This window comes from Homo sapiens, chromosome 14 (assembly GCF_000001405.40).
Source record: "Homo sapiens chromosome 14, GRCh38.p14 Primary Assembly".
Taxonomy (NCBI): Eukaryota; Metazoa; Chordata; class Mammalia; order Primates; family Hominidae; genus Homo; species Homo sapiens.
Genome location: NC_000014.9, coordinates 22,311,490 through 22,333,932, shown reverse-complemented (window position 1 = coordinate 22,333,932; position 22,443 = coordinate 22,311,490). Strand labels below are relative to the sequence as shown.

Below are 22,443 nucleotides of genomic sequence, written 5' to 3'. Positions count from 1 at the left end.
ATGTTAATGGGCATGTAACTATTCATTAAATGCTTCTTTTATCTACATGTATCCAAAAAATAGCTAGTACTAATTGAACACTGGCTCTGTGCCAGGCACTGTTTTATGTGCATATAAATATTACCTTATATTTTCCTCTATGGCAACCCTATTATTTAATACCCATTATTTAATATCCCATTTTTTAAAAAAGACTGAAGTTATGATTAACTGGAGTAGTTTGTTCAAGGTTACAGAGCTGAAATGTGAAGAATCTGAGCCCAGGGACTCTGGCCCTGGAGCCTGTGCTTTTCACCTCTGTCCTGTACTGTTCTTTTGTTTCACCAAACAAAGGTTTATTGTTAACCCATGATTTTCAGTCTCAAAAGTCCTTGTGTCAATAACTTCCTAAAATGTCTTTCAAAAAGTATATGGTATTTAGTTTTAACCTGACTTTTAATCAGGGATGAATCAAAGATACTTTGGGCTCATAAAAAATTCATTTCCACAAAGAGCCATTGGGAGAAAGTATACATCTGTTCACTGAGCCATTATTTCAAAATTTCAAGAATATGCGCAGGCTGGGCCTTTTCAACACTTCCCTGAAACATAGCTCAGTGTGATGAGATCAACAAGCAACTTACATTTTAGTAGGTGACAATAGGGAATAAAAAAAGACTCAATTTTTCTGTTGAGCAATTCTGACTTGCACTTGGTGACAACTGCTGATTGATGAGCTCCTGCTTGCATGGGCCAGTTCACCAAGAGAATCAACACAGATGTGTACAAGCAATGTAGGGAGTGGGGTGTCCATTCTCTTTTGAAGCAATCCCATTTTGGGGTTAGATTTATAATGTTTGTGTTTTTTTATTTTATTTTATTGGCAACAGTGGCTCCTGTGAGGTTTCTAAGAAAGTGCAGAATGAATGTGAATCCTTGAAAGTCAGTTGTTCAGAAATTCCAAAACATATGCTGGTCAATGGGTTTGATGTCAAAGCAGAAATGATTGATAGAGAGGAGGACATTTCCTAAGGCAGCAGCACGCAGTCTAACTCTTTTGAGTGCCCTTGAGGGAGACCAATTTGCAAGGCTGGTATTTACTATTTCATTTGACTTGGCTGTGGCATTTACATAGTAATGGTTTCAGTTCAACTTGGGAATGTTATTTTAAATCCTATACATGCTGCATATAAAAGTGTCTAAATGAGTTATCTTATGTGCTTACTGTTTCTCAATGTTTGTTTGCATGCCTATTTGAAGCTGCTGTTTGCCAGTCACTGCCTTCATTGTAATATACTGTCATCGAGGTCCCCTAACAGAGAATGTGGTCCTCTGGTACCTCTAGTGACAAACTCCCATATTTGAGGGTTACACCAAGTTCCATACTAATCCAAGCTATTTCTTATAGCAAGTATCCAGGTGAGTGGTTTACAGTTGTGACATTTTGGTCTTGGAAACAGCACACAGCCCTAGTTAGGCCTGAGGGGATATGTAATACACGTGAATGTCATTTGTCATTTATGTAGGGGCAGAGGAATGCTTGAGTTCGCTATCTGGTGAATAGAGATGTAGCGGGTAAATGTTTTGTAATTTACTCAGATGTTCAATCCAGGATAGCTTTATTTTCTATAACAGCCTAATTTCTAACTCTGGTAACCACTTTGCGTGGTGTCAGAAAGCTTGCTTTAAGTAAATACAGGGTTTTCTCAGTAAAATCATGACTTTCTAAGTCAATTCAGGATGTCTTCCATCAGTTCAGATTTCCTCCTCGCCATCCTTGGGGTGGAATGTAGAGGCCTTAACTGGTGGTCTGGCATTGGTTGGGGACACCTGGCCCATACTGGCATCTGTTGGGGTGCAGTGCTTAGGGTCCAGTCTGGGACATTATTGTTTCTAATGTCCTGATGTCTGAGTCCCTGTAGGTCTCTGGCTGTTAATCTATATGCTCTGCATCCTTTTTATTATAATATTGACACCCATCCAGGTCCACTAAGTCTCTCTCTGTTAATTTCTATGCTTTTTGTGTGCATGCAAAAATTCAACTACTCTAATTCCAGTCTGGCAGAATGGGGCTGTCTTGGGCTTTCTGGGCCTATTGGCACTACTGCACAGCTGTCTCTGCCCTGGTGGAAATTTGCAGGATACTGTCACTCAGTCTTTCTGAGAGGAATTAGTTGTCAATCTCCTCTAGTTTCAGATTCCTAACATCCTATTTGGGGGCTAAAAATTGCCTCCTCCCACCCCACTGCTGGGAGGGTATGTGGAGATGGGCAGAGATCTTCACTGATGTCTTACTTTCTTGCTTTTGTCTCCATCACCCCAGAAATTCCCAGAAACTAAGAAATTTGCATTAAATCTAGGGTTGCATAATTGGTTTTTGTATTCAGATATATTCTAAGAGAACTTTTTGAGGCATAGATTTATTTTTAAACTCAAAAGTCGTAACCCAAACTCAAAACCCCTTTTTTCCATTCTATTGTCTCCAGAGGAATTTTCAAATTTATCCTTTCTTCTTTTGTGTTCATTGTGAACTCCCTTTTCCAATATAGGAAGGAGACCAGGACTTCCTGAGCTGCTGGCCTAACATGAGAATGATAACAAAGCAAAAAAGTATTTTCAGAAATAAAATACACATCTCTTTGTTGCTGGAAAGGGGTCCCAATCCAGACCCTAAGAGAGGGTTCTTGGATCTCACGCAAGAAAGAATTCAGGGTGAGTCCATATAGTAAAGTGAAAGAAAGTTTATTAAGAAACTAGAGGAATAAAAGTATGGCTACTCCATAGACAGAGCATCCTTGAGGGCTGCTGATTGCCCATTTTTATGGTTATTTCTTGATTATATGCTAAACAAGGGGTAGATTATTCATGCCTCCCCTTTTTAGATAGGGTAACTTCCTGACATTGCCATGGTATTTGTAAACTGTCGTGGCACTGGTGGGAGTGTAGCAATAAGGATGACCAGAGGTCACTCTTGTCGCCATCTTGGTTTTGGTGGATTTTAGCAGGCTTCTTTACTGCAACCTGTTTTATCAGCAAGGTCTTTATTACCTGTATCTTGTGTCAACCTCCTTTCTCATCCTGTGACCAAGAATGCATTAGCCTCCTGGGAATGCAGCCCAGTAGGCCTCAGCCTCATTTTACCCAGCCCCTATTCAAGATGGAGTTGCTCTGGTTCAAATGCCTCTGACATGTTCATATAAAAATATTACTTTGCTACAAAGATGATTGGGATTGGACGTTAAGATAACCAGTCTACTAACACCTTTCTATAAGATCAGAGAGAAATTTCAAGTGATTGCCTTCTGAGAAGCTGTATGGGGCATTGGTTAAGAGCATGAGCTATGGAGTTGGATGGTTTGGATTCAAATTTTGGGAGTGTGCCATAGGGCGAAGTATTTAACCTCCTTGTGCCTCAGCTTCTACAAACCTGGCTAATAACCAGAGTTCTTATGAGAATTAAATTAGTTAATATATGTAGAACACTCAGAACAGAAACCAGTTAGTAGTAAGAACTAGACAATTACTAATTATTATTATTGTTAGGTGTTGCCAGCCTGTGTGTTAGAAATATTTTAACGTGATGATCTCATATATGTGTATGTTCTAAGCAACATGTGTAATCATTGAAACGTAGGCATTTAATTACCTTGTGACTTGCCTACTTTATTACCAGTAGACTTGCCTACTTTTAACTTTTAAAAAACTTTCTTGATATACTTGATTCACTGTTAAGGCATTATATGAACAAAACTTCTTTTATTCATATAGAGTTGCTCAATACAAAATGTAGCTACCCAGAGTTAGCCAAACTGCAAGGTTAAGGTCATAGACCTCCAGACTAAATCTACATAAGACTTCTGCCCCCAACTGTAAGTCGCTAGGACTCAACTACAAAGGGGAGATAAGTTCATGCAAGACCACTCTCACTACTGGCACCAATGGCAAGGTTGGGTATTTCCTAAATCAGGTTCCATAATTCACTAGAAAGACTCATAGAACTCATTGAAACCTAGTATACTTGTGATTCGTTTATTACAGAGAAAGGATACATTAAAAGCAGCCAAGGGATGAGATGCATAGGGCAGAGTCTGGTAGGGTTCCAAACGTGAAACTTCCACTGTCCTCAGGGATGAGTTACCCTCCCAGCATCAAGGCGTGACAATACCCATGGAATATTGCCAGTCTGGAAAACTCAGCTGAGCTTTGGTGTCCAGAGTTTTTATTGGGGCTTCATTATATCAGATGACTGATAGCCTGTGTGGTTGAACTCACTCTCTAGGTTGTGACACAAACCCTCCACCCTATGTTATATGGTTGGTCTTTCTGGCATGGCCAGCCCCCATCCTGAGACCATTGATTGTGGCCAGCCTCACAATGAGTCATCTTGATAGCAGAAACTATTAAGTGCGGTCCAAGGACCCCACCATCAATTATAAAGACATGCCAACAATTCAGGAAATTCCGAGCCTTCAGAGGTTATCTCCCAGGAACTGGGACAAAGACCAGACCTGACTTTGGGTAAGGCTAAATTTCTTGCTACACGTTAGTAGAAGAATCAGCAAATTCCAGTGTCAGGAATCTAAGTGTTCCCATTGTTCTACAGTGCCTGGTTCACTCTGATCTGTCACCTCAGCCTGGAACCTCAAGTTTGGAGGTGATTGGTCTAATGCTGCTGCTGTGCCCACTGTGTATACAGGCATCCTCTGCAGTTTTCCATGTTGATACCTGCTTTTATGTGAATTCTGTTTTTAAAGTCTTCATTTTTTATCTCCAGTCATATTGGACTACAGCCTCAGTTCCAAAAGCACTGCTTCATATGTTTTCAATCCTCTCCAGTCAGTGTTTGAATTAATGGGATTGTCACTAGGAACATCTACACTTGAGGGACAGCCCAACACAAAGTAAGATACATGTCTGATGGCTCAGATTCATTCACTCATCACTATTTGTCATACTCCTTTGTGCCAGGCACTATTCTGAACACAGAGCATTTAGTGGAACTTAGAGGTTAATAGGAAGGACAGATATTATACAAATAATCACACAGAAATACATAGAAATTACAGGGTTCTTTAAAACAGTAACACGAGGGGAACAAATTTAGGTTGAGGGGCAGAGAAGTGTTCATTGAGGAAGAGACATTTCATCAAGATTTAAAGAAGGATAAATATTAGCCAAGTGACTGGAAACCGTGATTTGATTTGAACTGGTAAGAACAACATGATGTGGGCTCTGAGTTTAGTCTGCACTGCTTCCCCACTCCCATGAAATGAGGAAAATATTTCTTAACTAAACTAGAAATTCAATGGCCCTTTTAATCCAAGGTCCTTACTAGCTCTGAAGGTTAGAAAGAAACCTAGTGAAGTAATGAAGAAACATTCCAAGAGACAATTTTGGAGAGTTTTCGGTATATCTCATGCCTGCGTCTGCAGCAACTGGAGACTCTTTTCTATCTTTTAGGATTTCCAAGCAAAGGAACCAGAAATCACTATAAACATGAAGTCATCCTCATTGGAATGAGCCAAGTGTACTGCAGTGAAAAAGTGAACCAGGTCTGATACTCAGCTTAAAGGATGCTGGAATGAAAGCTGTGGTGGGTCTCAGACTAAACACTGTGAGATATCTGTGTGCTAAGGGACAAGAAAGAAAGGAAATCGCTTTACCTAGTGTAAGCAGATCAGGATTTGGGGAGGCAGAAGGCTCATAGAATCATTGGGCAGACTGGAGAAAAAGATTCTAGGCTCGACTTCCAGGAGTGATGCCCAGAACCACCCATCCATCAGCCTCATAAGAAGGCTGCAGTCCTATCCCTATGCCAGCTGCCTCCAGTGCTGCCAGCAACAGAATATGCAGCCAAATGGGCCCAAACAGGAAGTTACTGCTCCTGGCCCAATCAAGAAGATGCTGTTGCTGCCTAACCCAGACCACATGGCCTCCACTGCCCCTAAACCAAGAAAAGGGATGCCCCTGCCTAACCTGTTCCTCATATGGCTCATCTCCCAATCAAATACTTGGCTGAATACAGATCTGCACCTTAGCTGCAAGGGAGCCTGGAAAATGTAGTTCGCAAGGCAATAGTCACAGCACTTGGAAGGATAAATGTAGAGATGGTGTTTGAATCCTTTCTGGAAGTGATTAATGACAACTGTTCACTAAAAAAGAATGCCTGGAGAGACACGACAGTAATTATAGGGATAACAGAAATATTCTTAAGAATTAGGAGTCCTCAGCCCTAGAAGATGAAAAATGCGATGAAATATGTGAAAGTATTTAAATGGTCACAAGAGAGAGTGAAATGAACTTTATAACAGTAGAAACTGAGGTTTGAAGTTGGTGAAAGTATAAAGACTTTATATCATACTAAGCCACATTCGTACAGGTGTCAGCATAGTTTGAATTTATCATACTTCGACATTATATGTAAATGAGTTCAGGAATGAGAAATAAAAACTAGTTTTTAAGGGCAATTTTATTACTGACAACAGAAAAAAAACCCTAGGTTTACCAAAAACTTTGGTCATGCCATATGGGTGATACTTATTCTTGTCTTTACTTTTTTTTTTGAGACGAAGTCTTGTTCTGTTGCTCAGGCTGGAGTGCAGTGACGTGATCTCCACTCACTGCAACTTCCGCCTCCCATGATCAAGTGATTCTCCTGCCTCAGCCTCTGGAATAGCTGCAATTACAGGCATGTGCCACCACACCCAACTACTTCTTTGTAGTTTTAGTAGAGACAGGGTTTCATCATGTTGGTCAAGCTGGTCTCAAACTTTTGACCTCAGGTAATCTGCCCACCTCTGCCTCCTAAAGGACCAGAATTACAGACGTGAGCCACCGCACCTGGTCTCTTGCCTTTACTCTTTATCTAAGCCAGACAGGCTATTCATATATTGTTTCCTCAATATGTGAAATGATTCTTTGTTTGAAAATGGACCACAGTGATAAGTGACTAGAGCCAGAGAAAATGAAATGTATGAAATATTAATTAAAGAATTAAGAAATATATGGCTAAGCAATAAACTCTTTTCTAAATTCTAGACATACTTGAAGAGGTCCTCTTTCCTTTAATCTTTTTGAATGGTTATTCCCTGCTGCCGCCACCCACCCTCGGGTAGATTCCACATGCGTGCGCAGATGAGCATTCTGCTGAATACTTGAGGGCACCCTCGGCAGATCTCTAGGTCCTCTCTGTGCCCCTCTCTCCTCTCGTGTATTCTGTCTTATGAACTTCAGCTGCCTTAGTCTTCTCTGTCTCAGATCTGTTGCCTCAATTCAGGGAGCCTACCAGGTTCTGCCTCAGTTTCCCCTCTTTGTGCTGTGGCCTAGAAACTCTCTCAAGGCAATAAGCTATTGCAATGTTAGGGCTCGCCTCATTTGTTTCCCATCTCTCAGGATCATGGTCATTTATTGCTTAGTATACCGTGTTTTGGAAATTGTTGATTTATGTCATTTGTCTGCAGCCTTCTCAGTTGCTGTTGTTTCAAGTGGAATGGTAAATCTGGTCCCTGTTATTTCGGCGTGGCTGGAAGCAGAAGTTTAGATAAAATGATTTTTATTGGTTATATCCAATGTGCCCCCAGTTTTTAAATCAACTCCTTTGTGAGACATTGGGGTTTCTTTTCCTTCTCCACTCATTTAAATAAAGCTCTCACCAACATTTAAAAAATGAATCTTTGTACATACTTGATTGTTTTTTTAAGAAAGAAGAAATTTCTAGAAGTGAAATTACAGGGTCAGAGTGCAAGGACTCTTTGATGTATATTGCCATATAATTTTCAGTTTCTATGAGGTAGTTTTCTGTACAGGGAAGTGGACCCTGGGAGCAGCTTTTGCCACCAGTAGGATCCAAGGTAGTAAATCATCTGGTGGTCCTGTGGTCTGTACTTGCCTCTAGGTCTCGGTTTGCCAAGTCAGTGTATATTAATGGGTCCTAATCTATAGAGGTCTTTCTCTACTCGTCTCTTGGACTCAACATTCTTTCACAGGCAGTGATGAAGGAGGTTTTCTGCTTATTTTTCTATGCTTGGCTTGAATCTGGCAGGATCTGCAGTAAATCTAGCAGAAAATTCCTGGCAGATTCAAGTTTTCCCACCAACTTCCTTTGGACATGCAGCTTTATCTGCTCAAATCCATTTTGATTTTAATTCCCAGTTGTGGGACCACCTCCTTCCTGATCTCAAATGCTGTTCCATATTACTGAATAGGTTTAGCATCAAGCTTTAGCATTCTTGCTGTCTTACATTATTGAACTTTAATGGCTCAGCTCTGAGCTAAGAATGGAGCTTTAAAATATGAGCTTGTAGGCCGGGCGCGGTGGCTCACGCCTGTAATCCCAGCACTTTGGGAGGCCGAGGCGGGCAGATCACGAGGTCAGGAGATCGAGACCATCCCGGCTAAAACGGTGAAACCCCGTCTCTACTAAAAATACAAAAAATTAGCCGGGCGTAGTGGCGGGCGCCTGTAGTCCCAACTACTTGGGAGGCTGAGGCAGGAGAATGGCGTGAACCCGGGAGGCGGAGCTTGCAGTGAGCCGAGATCCCGCCACTGCACTCCAGCCTGGGCGACAGAGCGAGACTCCGTCTCAAAAAAAAAAAAAAAAAAAAAAATATGAGTTTGTAAAAATACAAAGCAGTACTATATTATCATATACCTTAAATTAAGTTTTTAAATAATCCACATAATGTGTTAGTTAAAACACCTGCTGATAGTGCCTAGAATTGCAGCTCTGCACTATTAGCCATTGCAAGTACCCAGCCCACCTCAAAGGAAAATAAATAAAAATAAAATAAATCAGAAAATGCAAAGATCAGGCAATTTAATGTCATTGTATTTCAGGGGAAATGAGGGGGACTGAGGGTGAATATTTAATCTGAGGTTGAAGAGAATATTTCATACCGATTAGCACTTCAAAAGAAATGTTCACATTGTAGTTGATTATAGTAGTAATCAAGTATGAAAATTTATATATACAGTAAGATGACATCACTGGGTTGGTCATTCCCTGGAATATTTTCTTCTCAATCTACTAAAGAAGCATTTTCTTCTAAAAATGTTTAATTTTATAATAAAATCACCTAGAAAATTTTCATCACTTAATAGATATGGAGCATGTCTATTTTATATACTTTGTACACCGAATGGTGAGTACTATCACTGGTATTTCTGATTACAAAGATATGGCCAAAGTAGAATGTAAAATTCAAATAAGATTCAAATTCAAATACAAAGTTTGGCCAGTGGTGAAAATAGCATTAGTTTAAGAAAATAGTAGAATAGAACATACATTTTGAGAAATAGACAGCTGAGAAAAATGTTGACCAATGACCAAATGAATAAAAACTTTTCTTGGAGAGAGGATGAACACTGGGGAATAGTTTGGCTCAGTAAGGTGAGAAATGCATGTTTCTGGGGGATGTTGGAAAACAAGCTCTTTGGAGATTCTAAAAACTGGTTTTAGATACAGGAGAATATTTAGATAAGCTGAGTGATGGGAAGGTTGCAAAGCCACAGTAATAAGGACAACCAGGTGTGTGGGTAGTGATTTGGCACTGACTGAATTGTATAGCAGTGCGGATAAGTATGGGAGTGAAAACTATTGTCTTGGAGTATATTAGGATAATATTTCTTGTCCATTTAATTCCATATATATATATATAATTCCTTAATAATATTAATTTTTGTTTGTTTAAAATTTTTCACTTTTTAAAAGGTATTCATTTTCATGATCTAATTCAGATTAGATCGTGATTTTTTTTGATAAAGGTAGAGTGTGTATTATTATCCTAATTTTCCAGGTTATAAACTGAAGCCGAAAGTGGGGATGTGACTTCAGAATTACATTACCCAGTTAGCTGCAAAACCGGGACTAAGACTCCAGTGCTTTTTCTGCTAAATCGTGCAAAGAGGCCTTTTAACACAAGTCCGAAATAACTATTACATTCACTTATTCTTCCAAAAACCACTTCTTGACCTCCTTCTAGATATCAGAATTGGGCTGGTTGCAAAAGAAATATCAGGGATGAAGAAACACAAGCCGATGTCCTCACAGACCTTACATTCTCAGTGAGGCAAAAAAATCAAGTAAGCAAACAAAGAGGCAACACACAAGGGCATAGAAAGAAAGTCAGCAAGACTAAGTCACTTCTGATGAAAAAGAGGAAATGTAATTCCACACAATTTTTTTTTCTTCAGTTTCTACTATTGTTAAATACAGTGCTAATCCCTTTGTGGATACAAAAATGAACAAAACACAGCCCTTGACATCAAGAAACTCTCATTATCAGAGCAGATGACAAAGCAGCGTAGATCATTGAGAACGCTCCTGGCTCCAGGCACTATGCTAAGTACTGGGGACACTGTAATGACCAAGGCATGGTTCCTGCCCTCATGGAGTTTGCAGTCTATCAATTTCACCAGCTACCTGATTCATGGAAATGAGGCTTGAAGTCAGAAACACTGGGCCAGACTGAGTTTCTCTGGAGAGAGTTCTAATGGTTCCCATATCAACTGGGAGCTGGTGCCTGGTAAGTGCTCTCTAAGCATCTACTGAGGTGCTGAAGGCCAGATACAGGAGAGGGGAAACTGACCAAAGCAGTGGTTTCTACTAGTTCATTCATTTGACTACAGGAGGGCACTGACTTCCACCAGAAACAACTTGAATTGCTAGCTTTGGCACCTGAGATTCTTTCTGTGATCATAGTGTCCACACAGTAAACTCTGAGGATGCTGAGAAAATTGAGACCAAGAAGTCTGTCTCTGTGAATAATCTTGTCAACTCTATGAGGAAACTTTTATCCATGTTTATGTTTTCTTGATTTTTACTCGTGCATTTATTCGATGGAAAAATGACTTGGCTTTCAGGAAAGACCAGTGGACTCTCAGATGGGGAGACTTTTTATTTTATTTCATAAGAATAGTTTCTTGTTTTGTTTTGTTTTGTTTTCCCTCTCTGTTAGGGCCAGCATCTCCTGTATCTTCTCTCTGTCTCAGCCTGTAATTCCACTTGGACCCTCCAATCTCAGCACTCTTTCTTTCAGGAAAGTGACACAGGTGTGTCCAGTACTTCTTAAAAACAGGAAGCCAGGAACATGTATCACCGATAGAGAAGCTGTGGTCAGTAGTCCCTGGGACAGCTGCATAGGCCAGTATCTAGGGCTTTTGAAGGGGATGAGGCACTACTGAGAGCAGACGGGCAGGGTTGTGTCTTCTGGCTCCGTGTCCTCTCTATTCACAGGGAGAAAAGGCATGTCTTAGCTTACATTCCCTTAAAAGCTGAGACTGAGATAAAGGTTTGCATGCAGGGCATTTTTGGGAACTGATCTCATGGAGCAGGAGTGAGGGATCAAGAGAGCAAATTTGGGTAGTGGAGAGAGCCAATGCAATGGTGCATAATGGAGCTGGCCACCATGTGCATGACTGGTGCCTGATCCTGGCATGACCTTCTGAAGAGTCTTTTGGAATATGCCGCAGACTTTTCCTCCTGCAGGGCATGGGGGAGGGCAGGAACCATTTATTCATTTGTTTCTCTCATTGTTCAAAAGTGAGCCCAAGAGTGTTTCTTTCTCCTTTCTCTTTCTCCTTCTTCTTCCTCTCCCTTTTTTCTCTCTAGTATTTGTCTTTGGGAAATGAAGATATGAGATCCAAAATGCAAGAATGCCAACTTGGGAGAGTGGTACTAAAATGTCTAGAATCACATTTATGCTTATAGAGCAATCAGTTCACACAGAGAAACAATGGAGGTCAAAGGAAAGGGAATCTTGAGGGGAAAAAAAAGAAATTAAGGTGCTTGAAGCATTTGAGAGAAATTATTAATAAATATTTTTAAGACTGTGTTGAAGAACTTAGAAAAAATAGCACATTGACATAGAATAAATGAAAAAAATGTAATTATTAACTAAGAAAATACGTTGTACCAGAAAGGATATATACTCATAGTTGTCATTTTGGTTGGACAGTGGCAATATTCATGTGGTCATAATCATATATGCACTGACTGTCTATTTAACCCCAGCTTATGATATATATATAACTATGTTGAGAAAGTGAGAGTATTTGCATGCTGCCATAGAAGGAAGTCAATAGATAATGCTTAATAATGATAAATCAAGAGTATATACATATTAATTAGAAATTGCTAGAATGGATTTGAATTGGAAGGTGGGGGTAGAGCATGGTATTTCTGTTTTCTTGATGGGCTAAGGAAGGAACAGACCTTTATAATACTATTGGCTTTTTAGATATGTGCAGGTAGTATTTTGATTTAAAAAGCCTTTGATTTTAAAAAAGAATGTAGCTGTAATTTAATATATGTGATTGATGTTGTTGAGTAATAAGAACAATTATAATCATAAAACTTGTTTTGATATAAGAATTCCACTGGGATTGGGAATAGTAATGTAAAGAATCCTTGGGGGATATACAGAACCGTTGATTTAGATACACTGGGTTTGATATTTTGCTTCATGAATTTCCACAAATGCAAGTTTCCATTAGAGATCTCCACATGAAAACTTAGAACCTGTCCTTTTTTCCAAAGAAGCAGCTGAGCTTCCTCAGAAACATCTCTTACCAGTCTTTCATTTCCACACCACAAACCAAACCATAGAGTCATCCTTCTATTACGTTTTCTACAGCTACTCCCTGTTTTTCTTAACACTATTAAAAAGGCCAAGTGCTGGACATCATTAGGAAAGAATCTAAAAACTAAAATTATTATAAGGTGCTTATTATTTATATTCCACATACTTCTCCAATGATCTGTGGTATTAATCCATAGTGAATATTAGCAAACTCATGGTACATCTAAAACTAATACTAATAATTGATACCCCTTATGTAACACTACGTGCCAGGAAATGTGTCAAGCCCTTTGTGTATATTACCTCATGTAATCCCCACAATTGGGGTTACGTACCATGGCTAACACTGTTTCCTTTTTATAGCTGAGGGAAAACTGAAGCACAGAGAAGTTAAGTAACTTTGTCAAGATCATCCAGTTAATAAGTAGCAGAATCGGGATTTTTATACCCTGTATATTTTACTTTCAAGATAAAAATCACATACTGTCTGGTTAACATAATTGGTGATGATGTTGTAGAGAAGAGAGATGGTCTAGAAGGGGAGAATATTATATTTTAAAAACTTAAACATTTTACATCATCTGACCAAGGATAGAGACAGACAAGTCTGAAAGACAGGAGTAAGAAATGATGCCTCAACTTTAGAGTTTAGGTACGGGCTCCAGGTGCCTGGGGAGCACTGTGTCTGACAGCACAGATGTAGACGGCAGAGTCTCTGGGATGGGAGGCTGTGATGTGCAGGGAGCTGTGCTTTTCCTGTATGTTTATTGTGGCAATTAATCTTCCATGCTTCTTCTTCCCTGAGCTCAGCATAAACAAGGAAACAATGCCTCCTCCTGGATGCTGTTGCAGCCAGTGTAAGGCACTTATTCCTACCGAGTAACTGCAGTTGATTGTGATAAATTCTCCTTCCTGGGCAGTCAGGTTCTGAGGACTCTGCTCCACTTCATTTTTGGCGGCACTTACACCTGTTCTCAAAGACATCATCAGATACAGAATATTACAATTATTGCAATATTTATACACATTTCTTTACACATTTTCAGGAGGGCCTCCAGATTAGCCACTTGGAGTCCCTTCTCTCCCCTCCCCAGAATTTTGAAAAATATCTCATGTCCTGAAACTCCCCAACTTACAGCTTAGCTGAAGCCACAAAATAGCCAACAAAAATTGCCGGATCTTCACCATTATTACTGCAGCAGAAGCTCACACAGGTCTCTGTTGGAGGATTTCGGAATATATCTTGGACAAAGGAGTCCTTTATTTTTAAAACGTCTCTACATTTACTTTAGAAATCAAAGGGGATTTTCAGCCCATCAGAAGCAGCAGAAATGCACACTTAAGAACATTTACAGTTTTACTTGCAAAGTGAACCATCTGTGATCTTTTCAGTATAACACCCACATTGCCACCTAGTGGCATGAGGCGTAGACATTTATTATGCAGGTCAAATACTTGAGCCCAGGAGTTTGAGGATACAGTGAGATATGATCATGTTACTCCACTCTAGCCTGGGCAACAGAGCAAGACCCTGTCTCTAAAACAAACAAACAGCCCCTCTCACCCACAATACAGATAGAGAACCAAACTTAGCATCCTCCTACTAGGAGTCCTAGAAGAAAGGTGAGGGTAGTGTGGGAGAACAGAAGCTTGTTGATTGTTAGACTTCAGCCAGCTATGATAGATCAAGTAGAGTAGCTGCATTTCACATTATATCTTTTGAAAACTCAAGGCCAGATCTGTTCTTTTTTGTAAAGGTGTCCTTATAAATATCTCTGGTTTCTTTATGTGACATCCTTGTTTCTTTCTGCACATGGTATTATTTCAGACTACTTTATTAGTTTTATCTTTCTTATTTTTAGACTTGCTACAGTTTGTTCACGTCTCTTCAAATGTGATTCAAATATTGTTGCCCTGTCAGAGTATTACTGTACTCATCTGGTTTCCACTTGTTTTATTGTTATCTATGATAGTTTCAGTTGTTTTATCACATTGGTGAATTATTTTGAGCATGTAGTCCTTTTCCACTTTTGGGATTCCTTTCTAAAGAGATGACATAGAGGTCATGCTTGTACCAAATAACCTCCTTTTTCTGGCAATAGCTTATTGGATCTGGGAAGATACTACGCTCATTAATTTGAACTAGAGGTACAGAAACCGCAGTTAGACAGTGTAACTAGAGCTTTAAAGCCCTGTGCTATTCAAACCAGACTCATCTCTTAGCAAACAGAGCTGGGTATGTTCAAACTGAAGTTATTGTGGAGTAGAATATGACAGGCTTACAGTGGAATCTGGTTTCCCAGGAGGAGAACAGATCATACATCCAGAGAAAAGTAGATTCGGAAAGCATAGCCAATTGGTGATTTTCTTCTTTCTGTGAGTCCTAGCTGTATTTTGCACAAATTGATTTTATGAGAATTTCTAATATCCTTTCAGAAAATCTTTTCCTTAATTACTATGAGCGCGTTACACAACAAATACTAAAAATTCAGGATCCCTTCTTCCAGACATTACAACTCATTTTTATAAAACTACTGTATAAATATATAGTTATCTCCATTAAATTCTATTTTGACAGTTTCAGTCTATCTTTCCAGTTTGTTCAGATGATTTTCAATCTTTAATTTATGCTGTAAATAAACATATTAGCTGGAGATCATTAGGACATGATCATCATATACCGATCTCAAAATTTGCTATTTGTACATTTAATGGGCATACCTTGTGTGAATTTACATAAGATCAATGTGAACAGGTCAAAGTGAAGGATAAAATCATGAGGTGTAACAATAGGGACATTTTTCTAAATTGTATATTTATACATGGCCGTTCTTTCAGCTGAGAATTCACCAAGTCTAGCATTACGCAGAATGACAAAGTGAATAGAGGATACAGTCTAGATCCAAATGAACTTAGGTTTGAGCCTTAGTCTTACTACTTACTAGATTCTACTGGATTTTTCTATTCAATACTCCAATCCTCAGTCTCCTTATTCATAAAATGGGTGTAACAATACCAAAATTATAGTTTTGTGGTGGGGATTACAGATAACATTGGGAGGTAACAAAGTATAGAATTTAAGAATGCAGGCTTTGGGCTTGTCAAACTGTATTTGTATGCCAGGTCTTCCCTTACTAACTCTGTGTTCTTGGGCAAGTTAGTTAATTCTTCTGTATTAAAGATAGTTTCCTTATCTATAATAAGGATTGCACCTACTTCATGAGGTTGTAGTGAAGATTAAGTGAATTAATGTATGCAAAGCATTTAGAACAACACTTCATGCACATTAAGCCCTTGATAAATAAATGTTAGTTCTTATTACATATGTAGTACAACAGGGCCTGTGATAAACACAACACTCAACAAATGATAATATATATATATTTTTCCCATTGATATAGTGAAAAACAAATTATTAAATATCTTGCAAATATTTGACACGTTTGAAGTCCACGGAAGTCCTTTGAATTTAGGACTTGTTTTAAAAATGTCTTTAGTGAGCTCATTCTGGCTTGGTACTGATCACTGCATTATTTTCTAAGAGCCCACACATTATCTGTTAATAATCTGCTCTAGAATTTTGCTGGGTATCGATCCACTATTTCTGTGTTCCTGAGTTGGGGATTTCCTTCATTCCTGATAGGTTTTCAAAAAATTCTCCCAATGCCTTGCCAACCATGCCTGCAAATTCTTTTTGTATGTTGGGGATTAGTTTAAAAGACCCAGAAGAATTGATCATTTTCAAAGCATCTAAGTTCTCTCTTAGTATCTTTTTATCTGTCATAATTTTTCATTTCTTCATTTCCAGTTTGAAAATTATTCTTTTCTTTTTTTTTTTTTTTTGAGATGGAGTTTTGCTCTTGTTGCCCAGGCTGGAGTACAATGGCATGATCTTGGCTCACTGCAACCTCCGCCTCCCAGGTTCAAGCAATTCTCCTGCCTCAGCCTCCAGAGTAGCTGGGATTACAGGTGCCCACTGCCACCCCCAGCTAATTTGTGTATTTTTAGTAGAGATGGGGTTTTTGCCATGTTGGCCAGGCTGGTCTCGAACTCCTGACCTCGGGTGATATGCCTGCCTCAGCCTCTCAAAGTGCTAGGATTACAGGGATGAGCCACTGCGCCCGGCCCAAAATTATTGTATTTGATGAAGAATAGAGGATGAAACCAGGGGTCGAAGTGCCCTACCTCTTCTTTATTCTCTACCAAAATTATTCTGTTTTCCTCGATATGTAAATTAACCTTCCTCCCCACCCCACCCTCTTCATTTCTCCAAACTGTTCTAAAACGCTTTTTATGTTCCACTTCACATTTTCTTTAAGCCTTAACTGCATTCATTAAAAGGTTTCCACTTTTTAACGATTTCCTTAAAGGCTCATGCCATCTTTGCTATTCTCCTTTGCCTTTGTGTCAGTCAACATTTGTATAATTTTTAGTTAAAAGCTGAGTTAGTATACCTTCCCGTACTGCTATAGGTTTTATCAGATGGCTCCATATTTCACATACTTATTGGAATTGTTTGCAATGGAATAGTAAGAATTTAATTTTTTTAGAGCTTCTTGTCCCATTAAGAATCACATTTAGATTTTTTGGTTGTCTTCTTTTTTATTGAGGTAAAAGTCACACAACATAAAATTCATACTTTTAATCACTTTAGAGTATATAATATGGTAGCTTTTAGTGTATTCACAATGTTGCGCAACCATCACCACTATCTAGTTCAGAATATTTTCCCCAAAAGAAACCCCACACATCTATTAAGTAGTCCCTCCCCACTCCCCACTTCTTTCAGCTTCTGGCAGCCACACTGCTTTCTGACTTTGGATTTGCCTATTCTTGGTATTTCATATAAATGAAATACACAATATGGCCATTTTGTGTCTGGATTTTTCCACTTAGCATAATGTTTTCAAGATTCTTCATGTTGTAGTAGGTGTCAGTACTTTATTCCTTTTTATGGCTGAATAATATTCCATTGTATAGAGATACCACATCTGGTTTGTCCATTTGGATTACTTACACTTTTGACTACCATAAACAATGCTGTTATGAACATTCATGCACAGGTTTTTGTGGGGACATATGCATTGTGGGTAGATACATCGGGCTGGAATTGCTGGGTCATATGCTAATTCTATGTTTCACATTTTGAGGTGCTGCCAAACTGTTTGCCAAAGTGATAGCATCATTTTACATCCCCACCAACAATGTATGAGGGTTCTAATTTCTCACATCCTTGATAAGACTCATTATTGTCCTTTTTAAAAAGTCATAGCCTTTTACTTTTGCGAAGTGATATCTTGTGATTTTGATTTGCATTTGTCTCATGACTAATCATGAGTAACTTTTCATATGCATATTAGACATTCTTGTATCTTTGTTGAAGAAATGTCTATTTAAATATTTTGCTCACTGCTTGAGTTATATTTCTTTTTATTATTGAGTTGTAAAAGTTCCTTATATATTCTAAATACAAGTCCCTTATCATCGGGTACATAGTACATATGATTTGCAAATGTTTTCTCCCATTCTGTGGGTTATCATTTCATTTTCTTGATGGTGTCCTTTGAAGCATAAACAAGTTTAATTTTGTTGAAGTCCAACTTATCAATGTTCTATTTTATTGCTTGTGCTTTTGGTGTCACATCTAAGAAATCAGTGCTTAACCCAAGATCATGAAAATTTACTGCTATGTTTTCTTCTAAGGGTTTTACAATTTTAGTTTTTACATTTAGGTCTATGATCCACTTTGAGTTAATTTTTGTGTGTAGTGTCAGTAGGAGCCTGTGAGAGAAAAGATGATATGTTGATCATAATGGCCTGGGGCTGGGCGTGGCGTGGGGTGTGGTGTGGTGTGACAAAGCAGTGGGCATGCCAAGCCCTGTTAGGATGGTCAGCACTAGGCAGAGAGATTGCTGTGAGAGAGCAGAACTGCTACGGTGGGACTTGCAAGTTCCAGAAATGCTTTGAGTACTAATCTGCCCCTTCCTAACCTACCTTTTTTCCACTTTATCTCCATGCTAAATTTGTGTGATTATTTTTATTTCTACTTCACAAGTGAAAAAAACTAAAGCTCTGAGACATCAATTAACTTGGCCAAATTTGCATAGCTAATAAGTAGTAGAGCCAGGACTGACATCCAAGTCATCATATTCTAATTCCTACACATCATGCAAGAAAGCCTGAAGGACAAGAGAGAACTGACCTAATTGAGAGCAGGGATATCATCTGAGACCCTCTTCCCTGACCCCATTTTCTGTCAAAGAAACCCCTGTGCCCCCTGGAATTAGAGGCAGTTATATCTGATTTTGATTTTCCTTATCTTCTAATAATGTCTTAACAGGACTGTCTGTGAAAGAGAGAACAGGGCTCTACAACCTGGGTTTTCCAGCCTCACTACATACTTCCTCTGAGCCTTTGAGGTTTTTGTATAGCTCCCACTGTGCTTTTAACACAGTGTCTCCCAGAAGACAGTAGTACACGGCTGAGTCTGATACCTGGACTGAATATTTCACAATGGGGGAGTTTTTGTCTTTAATATTTCCGCCTCCGAAGTTTTTGCTGTTTTCCATTGTCTCTCTCTGAAGAAGCTGCAGAGGTTTGCTGGGGTATTCCACATACCAGAAAAGGGTAGGGTACCCCGTGGATGTGTATGTGCAGTTCATAGTCACAGATGCTCCCTCCGAGACGGTTATTTGGCCCGTCTGCTTGACTGAATTGCTGCTGGTTCCTCCTGTAGGGGGAAAAAAGTACTGATTTTATGGGTTTGGCCAGAGTTGTTGTATCTTTTGGAGAAGTATTTATTATTTTGAAATAATACAAAAAATTTTAATAAAATGTACTTACCAAACATTAAGATCAGAATTAGAAAGTCCAGAGAGGAGTTCATTGTTAGTGTCTCTGGCCTAGCAGAGGGCATCACTGTTGAAGTGAGGATTCACAGTTGTACTCAGAATTCATGCATAAATTATGATTTCACTGGTGAATAGCACCCCCAAGTGGCAAGTTAATGAACAGGTTATAAGACGTCATCTGCCTCTCAGTGTTCTGCAGTGTGTCCTCACTACTGTCCTCATTCTTAAGAGTCATGTTGGGTGTGAGGTGGTCTTTTTGTGCAAAGGGGACTCACCACACTCCTAAGTCTGTTATCGCTACAACACTTATTCTAAGGGAGAATAATTTCCACTAGAACTTAGACATCACAACATGTCAGTATTTTAGACAGTTGTTTCAATATTTTCAGTTTTTACAAACAACATTGTGATAAATCTATGCTTACATAAACCCTCTTCATACGTCTAATTATTTCCTTAAAACATGGTCCACTGAACACACATTGTGACCAAATGCCGAATGGTGAGATGTTAAAGTCAATATCTGGGGGAAGCTAAAGCTGAATCTGAATATCAAAAAATAGAATTAACTTCAACAATGCAAGAATAAATATGAAATTCTATCTAAAATGTAATTATTATTATAATTGTGTTAACAAAGACTTAGCATTCACATTTCAAAGTTTAGCTTTACAGTAAAAGAGCAGTAACCTCTCAGGACTGTCTATTGTTTGATTGCTCCTGTTATTACCATCTTTCACATTTGCAATATTCTTCACTGAAAACGGTAGTGAATCAAGATATTTTTGGTTCTCTCTTCTAGAAAAGGGTAGTGCTGAGGGTACACTTATTCCTTTTTTATCTGGACTTGAAGATTTATTTGATAATGATGGTGTAATTCAATTGAAGTCATTTTGCAAAGTCTACTTAACTTTGTTCTTTTTTTTTTTTTTTGACTGCTTTTTTTTTCCTGACTGCTCTTTTTTTTTTTCTCTTTTTTTCTTCCTCAGTCCTGGCATAATTTTATCTGGTTTCTCAGAAATGGAAATATTTCTCTTCAAATATGCAATCTTGCACTTAGACTAGAAGTGGCTTGGCTTACAGTTGAGTATTTGCAGTCTTTATTTCTGGTTACATAGTAAATGGCTCAAGACTCATGGTGCCATAGGAGGTTCTTGGAGTAACAGAAAAAAATTCCATGATATGTGTGTGTGTGTGTGTGTGTGTGTGTCAGTAACCTTCACTATTTTGATAGCTGGAAAAAATGAATCACTTTTTTAAATGTTTCTTTGATGACTAAAGAATTTATATACCTCTTTATAAAGTGGCCATTTGTACTACTTTTTGTGAATTGCTCATTTTCCCCAGGAATATTAATGTTTTATTATTGTTATGGTTTGAATGTGCCCCCCAAAGTTCATATGTTGGAAATTTAATCCCCAATGCAACAGTGTTGAGAGGTGGGACCTTTAAAAGGTCATGAGGGCTCTGTCCTCATGAATAGATTAATGACATTATCATGGGAGTGGGTTAGATATCTTGGGAGTGGGTTCCTGATAAAAGAATGAGTTTGGCACTTTATCCGTTTCTCCCTCTTGCATGCACTCTTTTGCCCTCTGCCTTTGGCCATAGTATGGTGCAGCAAGAAGGCCCTCCCCAGATGCAGGCCCCTGGACCTTGGATTTCCCATCTTCCAAAACTGTAAGAAATAAGTCTCTGTTCTTCATAAATTACACATTCTCAGGTATTCTATTATAGCAGCACAAAATGGACTAAAACAGTTATTGATTTATTTTAATTTTAAGGGTAATTTAAATTACATTTTAAATACAAAGGTATTTCAGAAAATCACATTGTACATATTTTAAATAACTGATGTCAAAGAACTTTCCTTCGTTACATTACTAGGCTTGTAGTTTTGATCAGTGAGCTATAATTAGAGGACAGATATGGGCAATGTTTTGACAAATCTTTCCTTTCCCCATTTCTAAGATGCAGTCTCATGTGCTACTTAACCTGGGATAGCAAATCACGAAGCCTGTCCAACTTCCCACATACACTCCTGCACTCCAGGGCCCTGTCTGGATAGGAAAAAGAAACTGCTCACACCCAGCCCCTCTCATACCCCTTGCAATTTGCACTCAACTCCTCTGTTAGTCTCCCCTACTGTGTCATTAGGAACATAAAAGTACACAATTGTGCCTAGTGCTTGGATAGAGGTTTTCTGCAAGTGGAAAGAGGTTTTAATCTTAACTTAATGGGCCTGAAATCTTCCTTTTCATTTATCATGATGCCTCAGAGACAAGGCATTTTGATATCTCTTTGGGATATTGGACATACCACAAGAGGAAGGTACCTACCCATTCTGTAGGTACAGTTCAACGTCAGGTGTGCCCCTGAAGAAAGGGTCACATAGCCCTGTGTCTAATTCACTGAGTCTCTAGTGGTTCTTCCTGGAAAGCCAAGGTTCTTATTAGAATGAATGGAAACGACATTGAATCTAAGTAACAAAATGAGAAATAAGAGAAATTATAAAAGAGCCAAAATTTTAAACTGTCATTTTGCTCACCAGAGAGTAACAGCCTCACAAGCATTGAAGTGGAGGCACTGATCATGGCTGCTCCAGTGCTGGGGACTGGAGAACCCATGATTTCTCCTGGCTTGCACAGGCTGTCTCTCCCAGGATTGAGGCTTCTAACTCATACCATTGATTGCACTTCCCTTCTTTAGATTTTGGGAAGTTTGTCTTTTAGTACTGGTTCCTCTTTCGGATATGAGACTCCAGGATCACTAGACCTGCTAGGTCCTTAGAGGTATATACAAGTACTTTGCATGACTACATGTAGGAATCTTTTAAATCTTAGATTAACCAAAACACACAAGTGCTTCAGCACTGGAGGAAGAAAGAAAACAAAGCACAACACAGTGGCATCCTATTTTGGGCTAGGGAGTGACCTCTAAACATTACTTACAATCCTTTTTGAATTAGTGGTTAGAAGAGGGAAGCGCTGGCTTGTAAGACACATGCTGCCCTTTCTGTGTCTAGTTAAATCAAT

At 38.9% G+C, this 22,443-nt stretch overlaps 1 pseudogene, 2 gene segments (V, D, J or C) and 1 further gene, besides 8 other annotated features; 1 reads left to right on the top strand and 3 right to left on the bottom strand.

Moving 5' to 3' along the window:
* Positions 1-22,443, bottom strand: part of TRA (T cell receptor alpha locus) — a 930,229-nt gene that overhangs the window by 218,200 nt on the left and 689,586 nt on the right.
* On the top strand, positions 498-1,008 carry LOC100420343 (translin associated factor X pseudogene; annotated as a pseudogene).
* Positions 13,203-13,211: a recombination feature (nonamer).
* Positions 13,212-13,234: a recombination feature (spacer).
* Positions 13,242-13,745, bottom strand: TRAV41 (T cell receptor alpha variable 41). The segment is given in 2 exon segments: positions 13,242-13,525; positions 13,694-13,745. Coding segments are annotated over 2 exon segments (336 nt in total), but the record flags the coding sequence as incomplete, so codon positions are not given.
* Positions 13,512-13,525: a sequence feature (TRAV41 leader sequence).
* Positions 13,694-13,745: a sequence feature (TRAV41 leader sequence).
* Positions 18,976-18,984: a recombination feature (nonamer).
* Positions 18,985-19,006: a recombination feature (spacer).
* TRAV40 (T cell receptor alpha variable 40) lies at positions 19,014-19,443 on the bottom strand. The segment is given in 2 exon segments: positions 19,014-19,287; positions 19,401-19,443. Coding segments are annotated over 2 exon segments (317 nt in total), but the record flags the coding sequence as incomplete, so codon positions are not given.
* Positions 19,277-19,287: a sequence feature (TRAV40 leader sequence).
* Positions 19,401-19,443: a sequence feature (TRAV40 leader sequence).